The sequence below is a fragment of the Homo sapiens genome, chromosome 17 (assembly GCF_000001405.40).
Source record: "Homo sapiens chromosome 17, GRCh38.p14 Primary Assembly".
NCBI classification, from domain to species: Eukaryota; Metazoa; Chordata; class Mammalia; order Primates; family Hominidae; genus Homo; species Homo sapiens.
The window spans coordinates 41,848,396-41,865,573 of NC_000017.11; the positions used below are offsets into that span (position 1 = coordinate 41,848,396).

At 44.9% G+C, this 17,178-nt stretch overlaps 1 protein-coding gene across 2 annotated transcripts, besides 2 other annotated features; it reads right to left on the bottom strand.

The window, feature by feature from the left end:
* KLHL11 (kelch like family member 11) lies at window positions 123–17,028 on the bottom strand. Of its 2 annotated transcripts, XR_001752552.3 has the most exons (3): window positions 16,431–17,028; window positions 5,268–6,926; window positions 123–1,956 (listed from the first exon to the last, which is right to left on the bottom strand). XR_001752552.3 is itself a non-coding variant. In NM_018143.3 (2 exons), the coding sequence occupies exons 1-2, from the start codon at window positions 16,973–16,975 to the stop codon at window positions 5,345–5,347; spliced, it is 2,127 nt and encodes a 708-aa protein (NP_060613.1). In that variant the 5' UTR covers window positions 16,976–17,028; the 3' UTR covers window positions 123–5,344. The 2 variants fall into 2 exon arrangements, 1 of the variants encoding a protein (NP_060613.1); NM_018143.3 differs by having other exon boundaries at window positions 123–6,926.
* Window positions 14,959–15,468: an enhancer, noted in NCBI's record as "H3K4me1 hESC enhancer chr17:40019607-40020116 (GRCh37/hg19 assembly coordinates)". NCBI's record gives its function as "activates a minimal SCP1, AML or CMV promoter by ChIP-STARR-seq in primed H9 embryonic stem cells {active_cell/tissue: H9 hESC(primed)}" and the evidence as "EXISTENCE:reporter gene assay evidence [ECO:0000049][PMID:30033119]".
* Window positions 16,989–17,178: a silencer, noted in NCBI's record as "silent region_8503". NCBI's record gives its function as "represses an Ori minimal core promoter by ATAC-STARR-seq in GM12878 lymphoblastoid cells {active_cell/tissue: GM12878}" and the evidence as "EXISTENCE:reporter gene assay evidence [ECO:0000049][PMID:35858748]".

Genomic DNA, 17,178 nt, shown 5'->3' on the forward strand with positions numbered 1-17,178 from the left:
GGAAAATGTTCAACTTAAGAGAGCCAATGGCTGGATGAATGAGGGAGTAGGAGGGATGGAAGAAAGCAATTATATCCGACAGTGCATAAATAAGAAAAAAAAGTCACACAGTACAAACCAGCTTTAAAGAAATATGTTTATTTAAAACTTACACTGAGACAATTAGTAGCTTTAACAGAGAACAAGATAGCTTCAGGAACATAAAACAAGCTATTTTACAATGTCATGTCTCAAGGTGTTCTAAATGCTACATCTCCTCTGAGTTAAGGGGAGATAGTGAAGATTATATTTTCAGTAGAGTAGGGACCTGGATACTACTAGTCCAAAAAACTTACTGCATCAACTCAAACTAAATGTTTATTTTACAAATAACTCAACGAGCCCAAGCACACGGATCATAAAATCTTCAAACACCTAGCAAGCACTACTTTTCACGAGTGCATTATGCAGGAGGACTAAGTTAACAAGTGCTCTGCAGTCTGTGCTTCAATGTAAGACATTCGTAGTGATGGTCACTGAGTAAGATAAAAAGCCCTACAAGTGTAATAAACAAACCGCAGTGATTTTGCTATCTAATTAAATTACTTGAAGCAAAATGACTACTAGGTTATATTACTGTTATTATATTACATCACCCAACTATGAGCTGTTCTGTTTCCAATGACCAGAACATACGGTACAATAACAAAAACAAAAAATGGACTATTCTCAAGAAAGTAACAAACTGGAGTGATGAACTGTGCCAAAATGTTTGAGAGACTGAATTGTTTCTCAAATATTTTGCAGTTAAAGCACCCTCTGGTGTAGACAGAGTACTTGGTTTACAGTAATGTACAACACTTTCAAAGACATGAAATGTGGCCCGTATACTATATTTAAACTTAATTTGAGAAAAGTATCAAAAAAGAAGTCCCTTTAGTTATGCTTGATTAGACCAAATAACTAAAATATACAAATCAGCTCTCCTGTCTACATACAGTATAGTGTTGACTTTAGAATTACAAAGCAGAAAATGAAATATTTTAAACATACCACATGCTACACTAGTCAAGAGGTAAGGAGGAAAAGTGAGCCCTAGAAACTGCCTTACCAGCAGCCTGACGGGTTTAAAAAACACAAAAGCACACAAATCTTCCATAAACACTATCTTTCCAGCTTCAAACTTCTGTTTTATATTAAAAAGGTATATTTAAATTTTTTGGTCCCAGAAATACTATATAAAACCGGGTGATCAAAACAAAACTTATGTCATGAATTTTAAGAGTTTTTAGCAAAAAAGATATTTTTGAACTGGCACAGCAAAAGCAAAGTTGAACATCATGATACACAAGACTAATCATGCAAACAACTGTAAGTGGGATGTGTTACTTAAACACTAAGCTCATGACTGACATTCTCAATATATACCACTGATTTTTTTAAGCCATGGTGGGGTAGATATAGTTCAAGGATACCCATTCTAAGATATAAGTAGCCTCACTCAAAGTTACATATACTATTACTTTTTGGTATAATAACTTCCTCTCTCTTCTACAAACAAAAGCAAAAGCAACAAAACAAAGGTTTGCTTGAATACGCATTAAGCTGTCTTTCTAAAGTCATGTTTTTAACTGCTTACATTACCAAAAACAATATTTTAAGTTTTCTCATCAAAAAGGAAATTTCTTTCCCAAGGAGCTATTTTAGGCCTGATCCTTGTACTTAGAACCTTTCCAAATACTCTGGGAAGTTATTTCCAGTTTAGAATTTCAGAATGTCAGCCTTGAACAGATTTAAGCAAATCTGGTTTCTTTCCTTATTAACAAGTTAGTTAGGATATTTCAGAAACACAAGTTATTGATGTGAAATTACACATGTGAATTCAAAAATAAAAATTAGAAAATCAGGAAAACCTGCACACATCATCATGCAATGAAGGACTTACCCCTTCTTTTCAGCCATGGCCTAGGCTGCCTGCTAAGTTAAAAAACAACAGTTTCAATCAAGGTTTTAAAACCAGATTATGCCTAAATCTTATGAGTTATAATTTCTGTCACATGATGTGAAAAAAACACAACCCCACAAATGACTTGGTAATAATTATCTCAGAAGACAACTCTGAGAACAAAAAACAAAAAACACATCACACCCTTCCAGTTAAAAACTATTATCGTAGTGAGATACTAAATTATTTAAATACAATCAAGAAAACGAAGTTTGCTAGCACAGTCTGTTGGAGAGAAATGAGAACTTCATTTAGTGAGCTTCATTTAATGATTCTGTCTTACTTGCATAGACCTATCACAGCTAAGAATTAGTGCTTCTCAGAATCCAAATGGCTTTTACTAAAATAACTACAAAGAAATAGAAATTGAGAAAAAGGTAGTGGTGGGATGGGACAATATAATAATATATCCTTATATGTAGAAATAGACTTGCAGTTTCTCACGCCCACTCCAGTCTAAATTAAATGGATTTAAAGTTGATTTTCAACACATTTATTAAAAACTTTTCACCTAGGCAGGGATACTAATTTAAAAATTTCAAGTTCTTAGTATAGAGCCCAAGACCTACAACTTGCAGCAAATAGCCAAAATTTCTGGTTGTGCTTTTCTCTTTTGGTATTTGATCACTAACAAGAAGATTAACTATAATGGACTAGGGAAAAAAAAAATCACTGCACTTGGAATTTGACTTCTAGAATGGTATGACAAAATGTCTAAGAAGGTAAAGACAGTTCTTAAGAAACAGGATAAATCATTGGACAGGTGGCTCTTTGGGAGGCCAAGGTGGGAGGATTGCTTGAGGAAAGGAGCTTGAGACCAGCCTGGCCAATAAGGTGAGACCTCACATCTTAAAAAACCAAAACAACAACAAAAACAAGAAAACCACATTGTAAACTGTTAGGAATCCTTTATATTAACTGAGCATTAAGAGTAAATTTGAGGGCTGGGCATGGTGGCTCATGCCTGTAATCCCAGCGCTTTGAGAGGCTGAGGTGGGCGGATCACGAGGTCAGGAGTTCGAGACCAGCCTAACCAACATGGTGAAACCCCATCTCTATTAAAAATACAAAAATTAGCCGGGCGTGGTGGTACACACCTGCAATCCCAGCTACTCAGCAGGCTGAGGCAGGAGAATCACATGAACCCGGGAGGTGGAGGTTGCAGTGAGCTGAGACTGCGCAACTGCACTCCAGCCAGGGCGACAAAGCGTGACTGTTTCAAAAAAAAAAAAAAAAGTTATTTTGAGGCCGGGCGTGGTGGCTCACACCTAATCCTAGCACCCTGGGAGGCTGATACGGGTGGATCTCCTGAGCCCAGGAGTTGGAGACCAGCCTCGGCAACATGGAGAAACCCCATCTCTACCAAAAATACAAAAAAAAAATTAGCTGGGCGTGGTGGCGCGTGCCCATAGTCCCAGCTACTCCGTATGCTGAGGTGGCAGGATGGCTTGCATCCAGGAGGTGGAGGTTGTAGTGAGCCGAGATCATACCACTGTACTCCAACCTGGGTGACAAAGTGGGACCCCATCCCCTGGCCCAAAAAAAAAAAAAAGTCAATTTGAGTGCTAACTTTTATAAAGCTCAGGAGACATAAGATAATTCGAATAACGTATAAAACTAAATAAAAGATAGCTTCAGTGATCTTTTTAATTTTTATTTGAGACACCGTCTCTCTGTCACCCAAGGTAGAGTGGCATGATCACAGCTCATTTCAGCCTCAACCTTCCCAGGCTCTGGTGATCCTCCCACCTTGGCTTCAAGTAGGAAGGACTACAGGCACGTGCCAGCTACCACACTCAGCTAATTTTTCTACTTTTTGTAGAGACAGGATCTTGCTATGTTTCCCAGGCTGGTCTTGAACTCTTGGGCTCAAAATCTGCCCACCTCAGCCTCCTCCAAAGTGTTGGGATTACAGTCATGAGCCACCGTGCCCAGCCCATAAACCTTTAAAAGCCAAAATTATGTACCCAAATTTGGTATCCTAGGCTCAGGCAAAGTTTGAAAGTGTGGGGCAACTGGATAAAATATAACAATCAGAAATAATAAGGCTTCTCTTTAGCAACATTTCTCTAAATTGTGACTTCCTTCCCATTTTGGAAAAAAACAGTTTCTTGTAGAAAAGAATAATGGACTGGGCACGGTGGCTCATGCCTGTAATCCCAGCACTTTGGGAGGCTGAGGCGGGCGTATCACCTGAGGTCAGGAGTTCAAGACCAGCCTGGTCAACATGGTGAAACCCTGTCTCTACTAAAAGCACAAAAATTAGCCAGGCGTGATGGTGGGTACCTGTAATCCCAGCTACTCGGGATGCTGAGGCAAGAGAATCACTCGAACCTGGCAGGCAGAGGTTGCAGTGAGCCGAGATTGCACCACTGCACTCCAGCCTGGGCAACATGAGCAAAAAAAAAAAAAAAAAGAGAAAAGGAATAATGAAGATTCTATATAATATGCATTAGAGCAAAAATTAAAATGGAAGGCATTGAGTGTCGATTGTCATAGGCATTATTTACACTCATTAACATATCCTCAAATAATCCTGCAACTCCTGAAAAAAATGTTGAAAAAATTTTAAATGCCTTTGATTTCCCAGTCTACACTAATACTTTTCTTCTTAGAGAAACAAAGTTCACACATGTAACTTGCTCTGTATTTAGTCAATTAGCTAAAGATCTATACTTTTGCCAACTACCGTCACCTCAGATTGAAGGCTTAAAGTCTATAAACAGCTGCTAATGAAAAATATTCAAAAAATGCATGAGCCAGTAAAAAATTTCTCATCAGTCACATCTTCTAGGAAGGAAACTGGCATTTCTAGATAAACATAAGAAAATATCAATGCAAACATTCTCAAATTATCTTGCTGAAATATTGAGTGTTTTCATTCAAATTTCAGTCTCACTATTGCACATGCCTCCTGCAGATGAGGGCTCAATGCAGAAGTCAGATCTTGCCAAAACCAATCATTTAATAAAAAATGAAAAAGAATATCAAAGTAAATGTGCAAATAAAATTGGTGCTTAAAGCATGTTCAAAACGTAAGTCCTCAAGACAAAGGAGTCATAACTCGTTGGCAGGAAAACAGCTAAGCAACTACACCTGATTTTTCCACTTGTCCTTAATAAGATCTTATTTAGCTAGCACAAACAAACAAACCAAAGACAAAAATTGCAAGCTAACAAAATGACCATGTATTGAACTGAGTCTCCCATTCTTTAGTTTTTAACTCTATTTCCTTTATATGGGGTAATAATCAGTTCATGTAGAAAATAAGTTATCGACATACTTTTTTAAATAACAGCCTGGGTATCTTCAGCTTCACGAAACGGGTGTAACAGTTTTAATCGGCACGCTTGAGAGAACCTAGCATTCAATCTGAGAGCTTGGCACTCGCCTCATGTTCAGGGCGTGACGATGTATCTCTTGCATCTGTCTGATGCGGTCCTTCTGCCACATCAGGTTTTGAGGCATAGGGTATCTCTGTGTGCCATGCAAGTACCGGTATGGGATCCTCACGTGACAAGCAGTGGCTCTACAACGAGGTTGTGGCATAGGAGGAAGAAGCATCCACCTCTTCCTCTCCGCACAATATCGGTAGGCTTCTTTCCGATACTGTTTATCAATATCATCACTGTTTTTCCAGCCTCCTATAATGAAGACATCATCTTTGTAATAGCAAATGGCTGCTCCTTCGATGCTTAGGACTTCTGGAGGCAAGCTTTCAAGGATCTCATCAGACACTTGGCTGGCAATTTTTCTTACTGCCTCTTCGTTTTCTAAACAATAACTCTTGGGACAACATGATGCTGTCTGATAAAAGTTTGAATTGACCACAGACATTTGGAAAAAGCAGTAATTGTCAATAAGCGGCAAAGATTCCACATCTTGCCACTGTCGAGTCTCTGTATCATAGCAAGTAATTACAGCCTTTAATCCATCTTCAGTGTCCCGGTCTACAGGAGTGCGGGCGGCAATGTATACAAACCGGTCTTCAATGGCTAGTGCTTTGACATCTCGAAGAATCTTTGGTGCCGATTCCAAGTTGTGCCATTTATCAAGCTCAGGATTATAAACAGTCACATCTTTAAAACCAGGACTAAAGTTGCCATGTCCTCCAATGCTATAGAGCTTCCCTTTGACTTCTGTTAGTCCAAAAGAATGCTTTCTTGTCATCAGACTACAAACATGTTCCCATGTATTCAAATTTGGGTTATACCTTTCTACAGTTTTAGCAAACCCTGGCTCCATTGATCCAGCAACATACACGTAGGATTCTGTTACTGCAACAGCATGTCCATCGAGGTGATTATGAATATGTGGCAGATTTACCCATCTGTCCTCATCAACAAAGTATCCCACACATTCACTTAAATAGTCCCCTCCTTCTGACACACCTCCAATAACCATGATCACATCCATGTTTTGCCCATAACGAGGCAATAGTGACACATGAGAAGTGGGGTGCTGGCATGTGCCAGATTGTATATTCTCAGCTCTCAGAGCATGTCTCTCCACTGCGTCAGCGACCAACTTGACACAAACTTCATTATTGGCTACCAGCCTCTCTGGTTTGACATGTCGAGTAAGGTAGGTAGGTTTCATCTGGGACAACCTGAGCAATTTAAAAAGTTCTTCAAAGTATCTCTCTCTCTCTTCAGCATTTCTCTGAACCCATTTCAAAACGGTTTCAAAGAGAACCTCTTCAGAATCAACTGTAATTTCCAAATCTGAAAGCCAGTCTCTAATGAGATGGAAAGGTAACGTATAAAATTCTTCATCCTGAATCACTTTGTGGAAATTTCTCCGTATCATATCAGCAGCCTTCAGAGCAAGTTGGCTCAGGGTGTACATGTGTGCTAAGCTATGAATTGCCACACAATTTGAGAGATGAAGTTTTTTCTTGAGAAATTCTCCACAAAATTCTTTTAAACGAATGAGTAGGAACCTAAAATCAAGAAAAAGAGAAAAGATTAATTTTTCAAATGTGCATATTTTATGTGGTTACTTTTTTCTTTTTTTTGAGACAGGGTCTCACTCTGCCACCCAGGTTGGAGTGCAGTGGCGTGATCTCGGCTCACTGCAACCTCTACCTCCTGGGTTCCAGCGATTCTCCTGCCTCAGCTTCCTGAGTAGTTGGGGCATACCACCATGTCCAGCTAATTTTTGTATTTTTAGTAGAGACAGGGTTTCACCATATTGGCCAGGCTGGTCTCAAACTCCTGACCTCAAAGTGATCCGCCCGCCTTGGCCTCCCAAAGTGCTGGGATTACAGGCGTGAGCTGCCGTGCCCGGCCTACATTTTTTTTTTTTTTTGAGACAGAGTCTCACTTTATCGGCCAGGCTGGTGTGCAGTGGCACAATCTTGGCTCATGGCAACCTCCGTCTCCCAGGCTCATGCAATTCTCCTGCCTCAGCCTCCCAAGTAGCTGGGATTACAGGCGTGTGCCACCACACCCAGCTAATTTTTGTACTTTTAGTAGAGACAGACAGGGTTCACCATATTGGCCAAGCTGGTCTCGAACTCTTGACTTCAAAGTTATCCGCCTCCCTCGGCCTCCCGAAGTGCTGGGATTACAGGTGTGAGCTGCCATGCCCGGCCTACACCATCCCCCCCCCAAAAAAAAACTCCAAAAAAACAGAGTCTCACTTTATCGGCCAGGCTGGTGTGCAGTGGCACAATCTTGGCTCACGGCGACACCCTTCTCCCAGGCTCATGCAATTCTCCTTCCTCAGCCTCCCAAGTAGCTGGGATTACAGGCGTGTGCCACCACACCCAGCTAATTTTTGTATTTTTAGTAGAGATGGGGTTTCACCATGTTGGCCAGGCTGGTCTCGAACTCCTGACCTCAAGCATCCACCCACCTCAGCCTCTCAAAGTGCTGAGATTACAGGCGTGGGCCACTGTGCCTGGCCATGGCCTACATTTAAAAAAATTATTATTTTTTTGTAGAGATGGGGTCTCACTATATTGTCTACACTGGTCTTGAACTCCTTGCTTTAAGCAATCCTCCTGCCTCTGCTTCCCAAAGTGTTTGGGATTACAGGTGTGAGCCACCACACCCAGCCTATGGTCACATTTCGAGAGCATCTAAATTATACATATGGAAATAGTTAGATTAATCTCACTTTACACACAAAATCTGAAAACAACAGCAACAACAACAACAACAACAAAAAACACCACCAAATTAGAAAATATTGTGCTGGCAAAGTATGTTTAAAAGCACATATACGCTGGGCATGGGGGCTCACACCTATAATCCCAGCACTTTGGGAAGCTGAGGGTCGCTTGAGCCAGGAGTTCAAGACCAGCCTGGGAAACATGGCAAAACCAAGTCTCTTTAAAAAAAAGGCACATGGCTGGGCGCAGTGGCTCACACCTGTAATCCCAGCACTTTGGGAGGCTGAGGCAGGCAGATCACTTGAAGTCAGGAGTTTGAGACCAGGCTGGCCAACAACATGGTGAAACCTTGTCTCTAATAAAAATACAAAAATTAGCTGGGCATGGTGGTGGGCACCTGTAATCCCAGCTACTCGGGAGGCTGAGGCAGGAGAATCACTTGAATCTGGGAGGCAGAGGTTATAGGGAGCTGAGATTGCGCCACTGCACTCCAGGTTGGGTGACAGAGCGAGATTCTGTCTCAAAAAAATAAAAATAAAAAGCACATATAGAGCTGGGCAGGGAGATGCATGCCTGTAGTCTCAACTACTCAGGGGGCTTAGGCAAGAGGATTGGCTGAGGTCAGGAGTTCAAGGCTGCAGTAAGCTATAATCGTGCCTGTGAATAGCCACTGCACTCCAGCCTGGGCAACATAGCAAGACTGTCTCTTTAAAAAAAAGCGTATACAGGCCGGGCGCAGTGGCTCACGCCTGTAATCCCAGCACTTTGGGAGGCCAAGGCGGGTGGACCATGAGGTCAGGAGTTCGAAAGCAGCCTGGCCAACATGGTGAAACCTTGTCTCTACTAAAAATACAAAAAAATTAGCTGGGCATGGTGGCGGGCACCTGTAATCCCAGCTACTCCAGAGGCTGAGGCAGGAGAATGGCTTGAACCCAGGAGGCAGTGGTTGCAGTGAGCCAGGATCGCACCACTGTACTCCAGCCTAGGCAACACAGCAAGACTCTGTCTCAAGAAAAAAAAAAAAGCATATATAAAAATCTTATTTATATATAAAATATAAAGTATTATTTATATTAGTTTATATAATTACCTATCATATATGTGAAATACATACATATATACACACATATACATATATAAAAACACAAAATAGAGTTTTTATTTTAAGAGACAGGGTTTTGCTATGCTGCAGTGGCTGTTCACAGGTGCGATCACAGTGCGCTACAGCCCCAAACTCCTGGGCTCAAGCAATCCTTCTGCCTCAGCTTCCAGAGTAGCAGGGACTACAGGCACATGCTACTGTGTCTGGCTGGAGGTTTTTCTTCTCTTTTGTTTAGAGACGGTGTTTCACTCTTGCTGCCCAAGCTGGAGTACACTGGCGCGATCTCTGCTCACTGCAACCTCTGCCTCCTGGGTTCAAGCGATTCTCCTGCCTCAGCCTCCCGAGTAGCTGGGATTACAGGCGCGCGCCACCACATCTGGCTAATTTGTTGTATTTTTAGTAGAAATAGGGTTTCACTATGTTAGCCAGGCTGGTCTCAAACTCCTGACCTCAGGTGACCCACTTGCCTCGCCCTCCCAAAGTGCTGGGGTTACAGGCGTGAGCCACCACGCCCGGCCACACACTTTATTTTCACTTTAATTTGTCCTTGGCAAAGGCAAATCCCTATCCAAACTTGTCTTTGCCATCCTTTCCTAATTCCTTGCTAGTCACCAGCCTCTTTTTTTTTTTTTTTTTTTTTTTGAGACAGATCAGATTCTCACCGTTACCCAGGCTGGAGTGCAGTGGTGCAATCATGGCTCACTGCAGCCTCGACCTCTAGGGCTCAAGTGATTCCCCCACCTTAACTTCCCAAGTTGCTGGGACTACAGGAACATGCCACCAAACCCAGATATATATATATATATTTTTTGTTGTTGTTGTTGTTGTTGTTGTTGTTGTTTTTCTCCCCGAGATGGAGTTTCGCTCTTATTGCCCAGGCTGGAGTGCAATGGCACAATCTTGGCTCACTGCAACCTCCGCCTCCCGGGTTCAAGCGATTCTCCTGCCTCAGCCTCCCGAGCAGCTAGGATTATAGGCACCTGCCACCACACCCAGCTAAATTTTTGTATTTTTAGTAGAGACAGGGTTTCATCATGTTGGCCAGGCTGGGCTCGAACTCTTCACCTCAGGTGATCCACCCACCTCGGCCACCCAAAGTGCTGGGATTACAGGCGTGAGCCACTGTGCCTGGCCACCCAGATAATTTTTTTTTTTGTATTTTTTTGTAGAGACAAGGTTTTGCCATGTTGGCCAGACTGGTCTTAAACTCCTGAGCTCAAGCAATCTGCCCACTTTAGTGCTGAGATTACAGGTGTGAGCCACCATGCCCAGCCCACCAGCCTCCTCTTAAATGAAACAGGGTCTAAGTGAAGGGACTTTATGGTATAAAGTAACAGCCAGGCAGGAACTTCTTTGGGGATCTGCTCAGTCAGATATCAGAAGGAACGCCCCCCTTACTCAGATTTAGGCTTTCTGCTAGAGGTTTTATTTCATTTTTAAATTTTTCTCCAGGATCATAGATTCAAGTTGCCCTGAATATATACTCCCTGTGTCAGAGGTTTTAATCTCGTCACCAGAGCTTTTTCTTTGGGCAGCCAGAGGGGATGGGGTACTGAGAAGATTTGTCCTGAATTGGGTTCTCATCAAAGCAGGGATGCAAAGCAAACTCAAACATCTGAAGAAGCAGAAAACAAAACAAAAACACAACAAAAAAATTGTGTAGGGTTGGGCGCAGTGGTTCAGGCCAGGTGCAGTGGCTCAGGCCTATAATCCCAACACTTTGGGAGGCTGAGGTGGGTGGATCACCTGAGGTCAGGAGTTCGAGACCACCCTGGCCAACATGATGAAACCCCGTCTCTACTAAAAATACAAAAAATTAGCTGGGCGTGGTGGCAGGTACCTATAATCCTAGCTACTCAGGAGGCTGAGGCAGGAGAATCGCTTGAACCCGGGAGGTGGAGGTTGCAGTAAGCCGAGATCATGCCACTGCACTCCAGCGACAGAATGAGATGCTATCTCAAAAAAACAAAAAACAAAAAACAAAACAACAACAACAAAAATTAGCTGGGCGTGGTGGCGTGCATCTGTTATCCCAGCTACTCAGGAGCCTGAGGCATAAGAATTGCCTGAACCTGGGGTCAGAGGTTGCAGTGAGCTGAGATCACGCCACTGCACTCCATCCTGGGCGACATAGTACAAAGCATGTGTAGGTTAAAAAACAAAAGAAAGTGATCTGGCATGTAGCTGACTAGATATTGTCTGCTCACCTAAATCCATTTAAAGTTTAATTTAAAAAAACCACAATCGTTTCAGACAAATTCATAAATCTGGCAGCAATCAGCCTGAGGATAGCCAATTTGAGACCACTGCTTTAAAAAGACTAAGTCCCCAGAACCGAGAAGAACCTTAAACAAGATTAAGAATCACTTCATCAATTCAGGCCTCTCGCAATTCAGTAACCGTTTGTTATTAGTGACTGTGCTTAGTAACTCTCTTAACTATGATATGAAAATCAATAAGGCAGGCTCCCTTCACTCTTTTAAGAGAACATATCATTTTAGAGATAAAGCAAAGACAAAGTAGAGTGGTATGGGATATAGTGGCTCCCAGACATGTCTGGGTGCCAGTGTCACCTGATTCCCAGGCTGCCCTGGGCTCCTAGTTTTAGCAGGCACTCCAGGTAATTTGGAGACAAATTCCCTTAAGTGTCTGGAAGCAATGCTCTATGAAAATAGCTGTCATACACTTGGCATCTGTCATGTGAGGGGCATTGTGCACATCCTATTATTATATTTCTGATCCTTACAAATGCCCAGTGAGGCAGGCATGATCATCAACAGACATATGTACTTAGGGGTTTTGGGGGGGGTGGGGGCGGGTCCTGCCTCAGAGCTGATGGGAAGATTAAATGTGATGGTTGCAGGGCACTTTGAACAGTGCCTGACAAAAGCCATTGGCTTAGCTGCTGACAGATGGAGAGAAGTTAAGAGTTTTTAGTAAAATGCCCAGAGTATCGTCTCCTCTCCTCTAACTCCCCAATAGAGCAGGAGCAAATCTGACAAACTCAAGATGATATGACAGAATCAAACCTAGGTTTGAGTGAGTGCAATGACCCTTTTCCACCCATTTTCATGCAACAAACCTCTCTCCCTCAGAGCTATGCCCATCCCACTCCACCTTCTCATTGATGACCCAGCCTCTTGAGAAAACAGAGACAATCAAGCAGGAACTTCATCTTCCCACCACCCAATCCACCAGCAGTTGTACCCTATACTTTGCAGTCCAACCATTCCAATTTTAATATGGATTCTACACTGAAGAATAACCAGAATATTTCACCCCAAAATATACTCATTTGACATATTCAGAGGGGCCGAAACCACAGGAATAGCTTTGAAGAGCTGTCTTTTGTGGGGGCGATTTGCATCTGTAGAGAAAATCTACATTAATGAGGTAAACAGCAAGGAAAACAGGGATGCAAACAGGCTTTCTCTGAGGCCTCCCCTTACTCAGATCGAGGAAAGACGCACTCACAGGAAAAACTAAGGAGGCTAAGGTCTGACACTTTAAAGATCTGACAGAAACTTTTCCCACAGGCTACATCCATTTTTTCTGACAGCTGCTGCCCGTGAGGTTTCACCTGCATAACAGGACAGCCTGTGCTTGCCAGGCTTTCCTCTCCTGGCTCTCCCATAACCTGTCTTGATGCATTCCAAGCCCCTATTCCTTTCTATAACCACAGGATGGTATAAAAACTTCAGTCACCCTTAGAGTTTTCATATTTTGTATGACTCTCGAGCACAAATGTGCCTGTAATAATCTGCTATGCTTTTCTCTGTCCTATATAACCTGTCTTTTATTATAAGAATGTCAGCTGTGGCCAGGTGCGGTGGCTCACGCCTGTAATCCCAGCACTTTGGGAGGCCAAGGCGGGTCAGGAGTTCGAGACCAGCCTGGCCGATACAGTGAAACCCCATCTCTACTAAAAATACAAAAATTAGCCGAGCGTGCTGGCAGATGCCTGTAATCTCAGCTACTTGGGAGGCTGAGGCAGGAAAATCGCTTGAACCCGGCAGGCAGAGGTTGCAGTGAGCCGAGATTGCGACATTGCACTCCAGCCTGGGAAACAGAGCGAGACTCTTGTCTCAAAAAAAAAAAAAAAAAAAAAAAAAGAATGTCAGCTGTGACCCCTTTATGAGAGGGAGGAAAGGGATCACCCCTCTTCCATCCCGACAGTTCCCTTCTTGGTTGCAAGGACTTTACTCCTGCAATTATTCCCCTGCTCCTGTAACACCAATTACTCATCTTCTACTGAATCATTTTCAGCAGCACACAGACATGCTCTAGTATCTTTTACCTTGGTGGGATTGTCCCCCAAAACATTTACACGTTTCTGATCCTCTTTATAAAGCAAGGCTTAACAGCTCTTGTCAATGGCATCTCTGACCTGCAACCATCACTAATGGGTTGACAGAGTTGACACGACTGGCTACTCCCTCCTTGATATCCTTCTTTTCTACGTTTCCATGAGATCAGTCTCCTCTTTAAGATTCTTTTTTTTTTTTGAGATCCAGTCTCTCACTCTGTTGCCCAGGCTGGGGTGCAGTGGCGTAATCTCAGCTCACTGCAATCTCCACCTCCCGGGTTCAAGCAATTCTCCTGCCTCAGCCTCCTGAGTAGTTGGGATTACAGGCACCTGCCACCACGCCCTGCTAATTTTTGTATTTTTGTATTTATTTATTTTTTTTTTTGAGATGGAGTCTCACTCTGTTGCCTAGGCTGGAGTGCAGTGGCACGACCTCAGCTCACTGCAACCTCTGCCTCCTGGGTTCACGCCATTCTCCTGCCTCAGCCTCCTGAGTACCTGGGACTACAGGCACCCGCCACCATGCCTGGCTAATTTTTTTTTTTTTTGTATTTTTAGTAGAGACGGGGTTTCATCATGTTAGCTAGGATAGTCTCGATCTCCTGACCTCGTGATCTGCCCACCTCGGCCTCCCAAAGTGCTAGGATTACTGGCGTGAGCCACCGCGCCCGGCCTAATTTTTGTATTTTTAGTGGAGATGGGGTTTCATCATGTTGGCCAGGCTGGTCAAGTGATCCATCTGCCTCGGCCTCTCAAAGTGCTGAGATTACAGGCGTGAGCCACTTCGCCCAGCCGGCTATTTTACATTCTAGAGAACCCCAGGGCTCAGTCTTGCCTACTCTCTCCCCGCTGCCCCTTTTCTATGTATACTCCTTAAGTAATACCATCCAGCCCCAAGGCTTTAGTTACCATTTATACGGTAATTTTCCCCAATCTGTATCTCTAGCTCCCATGCACTTCCCAGGGATCTCCTTAACCAAATCCAAAAACTCCTGATCTTACTCCCAAACAGGCTCTTCTGCAATCTTCCACATCTTAATAATTCCATCCTTCCCATTGCTTGGGTCAAAAAGGTAGCAGTCTTTTCCCTTATACCCCACGTCAAATCCATCAGCAAATTCATCTCATCCACTTTCAAAATATATCTGGAACCAGAGCAGTTCTCATCACCTTTACTTCTCCCTCCTCAATCGAAGCCTCCACCACCACTGCCACAACCTCCTACACTAGTCTCTCTGCGTCTGCCCTTGGTGCCCCCTCCTCCCCAATGCCACATCCTTTGTTCTTTTTTTTTTTTTTTTTTGAGACAGAGTCTTGTTCTGTCCGCCAGGCTGGAGTAGAGCGGCGCAATCTCAGCTTACTGCAACCTCAGCCTCCCACCTCCCAGGCTCAAGCGATTCTTGTGTCTCAGCCTCCCCAACAGCTGGGATTACAGGCACACCACCACGCCCGGCTAATTTTTGTACGTTTAGTAGAGACAGGGGTTTCACAATGTTGGCCAGGCTGGTCTCGAACTCCTGACCTCAAGCATCCACCCACCTCGGCCTCTCAAAGTGCTGAGATTACAGGCGTGGGCCACCGCGCCTGGCCGCCACATCCTTTTTTCAGCACAGCACTATTCATCAAATCAGACTGCATCATTCCTCTGCCCCAAACCTTCCCATTTCAATCAGAGTAAAAGCTCATGTCCTTCCACAGGCCATCAAGGCCCTACGGGATCTGGATCCCTGCCCATTACCATCCTGGGGCTTCTCCTGTTCCTCTCATCCTGCATCCCTTTGATACAGCCACACTGGCTCCCCACTGTTCTCTAACATACAAGCTCCACCTCAGAGCCTCTGTACCTGTGTCCCCTACCTGACACAGTCTACCTTACCTCCTTCGGTTCTTAGCAAAACGTCTTCTTCATAGGGCATTCTCTATCCACCCAATTTGGAAAACACTTCCTCTCCCCCAGCAGTTTCTATGTACTCCCCCCATGCTTTATTTTTCATCAGTGATGACAATCATCCAACAGGCTATACATTTAACAATCATCCAACAGGCTATACATTTTACTTATTTACCGTCCATCTACCAACCTAAGTGCGATAAGGAAAAGGACTTTTGTCTGTTTTGATCACTGCTGAAACCCTAGCACCTTAGAATCCCGCATCTGAGCTGATGCGTAATAGGCGCTCAATAGGCATTTTTGTTAATGTATCTGTAAGATGATAATTGCCAAAACAAACGCCTCTCCATCTCTATAAACGGTATTACCTGCCTTCTAACCAGTCTCTGGAGCATTCCTGCTCCCTACAATCCGTTTAACACAGTGGCAGAATAATATTAAAATATTTAAATGAGCTATTTCTTTACCCAGCTTCCTATCACACTTAGTGAAATCCAAACTCCTTATTCCAACGCATCTCACGCATCCTTCTCCCCTTCATCCACTAGATCCAGCCTCACTGGACTATATTTTAATTCTCTTCTCTAAGCCAAACTGGATCCTGCCTGAGGGCGTTTGCGCTGTCTGGAATATTCATTCCCCATCTTTGCACGGTCAGTTATTTTTTGACATTCAGAGGTCGATCTAAACTTCACCTCTTCAGAAAGATCTTTATTCAATCCCTAGCCTTTCATTCCTTTTGAACGTCAGCACAACAGTTACCACATACTGACTTTCCTTTTCATCACTTTTGTCCCATCACCTAGTATCTGAGCTCCTTGGGCGCGGGGCGCCCTCGCCGGACCTGATGGTGCATCCTCCTCGCCCACCGCGGTGGCTGCCCCCAAGCAGGCGCTCAGCGAGTGTGAAACCAATGCATTCACTCAGGACTCGCGAGCTGCCGTGGCAGGCACTGCCCTCCCCTCCGCCAGCGAGCATCTCCCCCTCTCCGCGCCCGCCGCCCTCCGCGCTCCCGCCTCCCTCGCCTACCTGTCGGCCAACTCCAGCACCTCGTGCACGCTGCCCGTGCTGACGCGGATGCGCCCGGTGTACATGTACTCGATTACGGCTTCCACTGTGTCGGGTTCGGGCCCCGGCTCGGAGCTCCACTTGCGCATCTCCACCCGTCCCGAGCGGGACTCGGAAAACTGGCCCGAGAGCAGGGGCGTGAAGTACTCGGTGGCGGCAGCCAGTACCGAGCGGTGGGCCCGGAACTCGCGGCCTCCAGCCCCGCCGAAGCACAGGGTAATGTCGCAGAAGAGGCCCTGGCGCCGCTGCTCGTTCTGCCGCCAGGACAGCTCTGAGCAGTGAGAGCTGCACTCGAAATCCTCGGCTTCTGGGCCCGGATCGCCCCCGCTCGCCTCCATTGCAGAGATCCCCGGCCCAGGCCCGAAGTCCACCGTGCCGCTGCCTCGGACCTCGGCGGCCAGTCCTGCCGAGCCGGCGGCGGCCGTCTCCATGCTCTCCATCTCCAGTACCTGAAGAGATGCAGCCGCGGCCGCCGCCGCCGCCGCCGCCACTGCCGCAGCCGCCATCTTGACGCCGCTGCGCCCGGCCTCCACAGCCTCGGAACGATGCGGCTGTTGGTACGACACAGAGGGATTCTGGGATTAAATAGTGCGCGCGGGGCGGGGCCAGGTCGCCCGCCGGCCGCACATGCGCCGCCTCGCCTCCAGCAGCGCCGCCTCGCCTCCAGCAGCGCCGCCTCGCCTCCAGCAGCGCCGCCTCGCCTCCAGCA

Excerpts from the sequence above, each read along its gene's own strand:
- KLHL11 (NM_018143.3), bottom strand. The coding sequence starts at position 16,975 with ATGGCGGCTGCGGCAGTGGCGGCGGCGGCGGCGGCGGCCGCGGCTGCA. Across the intron at positions 6,927-16,430 it reads GTGCTGGAGTTGGCCGACAG|GTTCCTACTCATTCGTTTAA; the intron begins GTAGGCGAGGGA and ends TCTTGATTTTAG.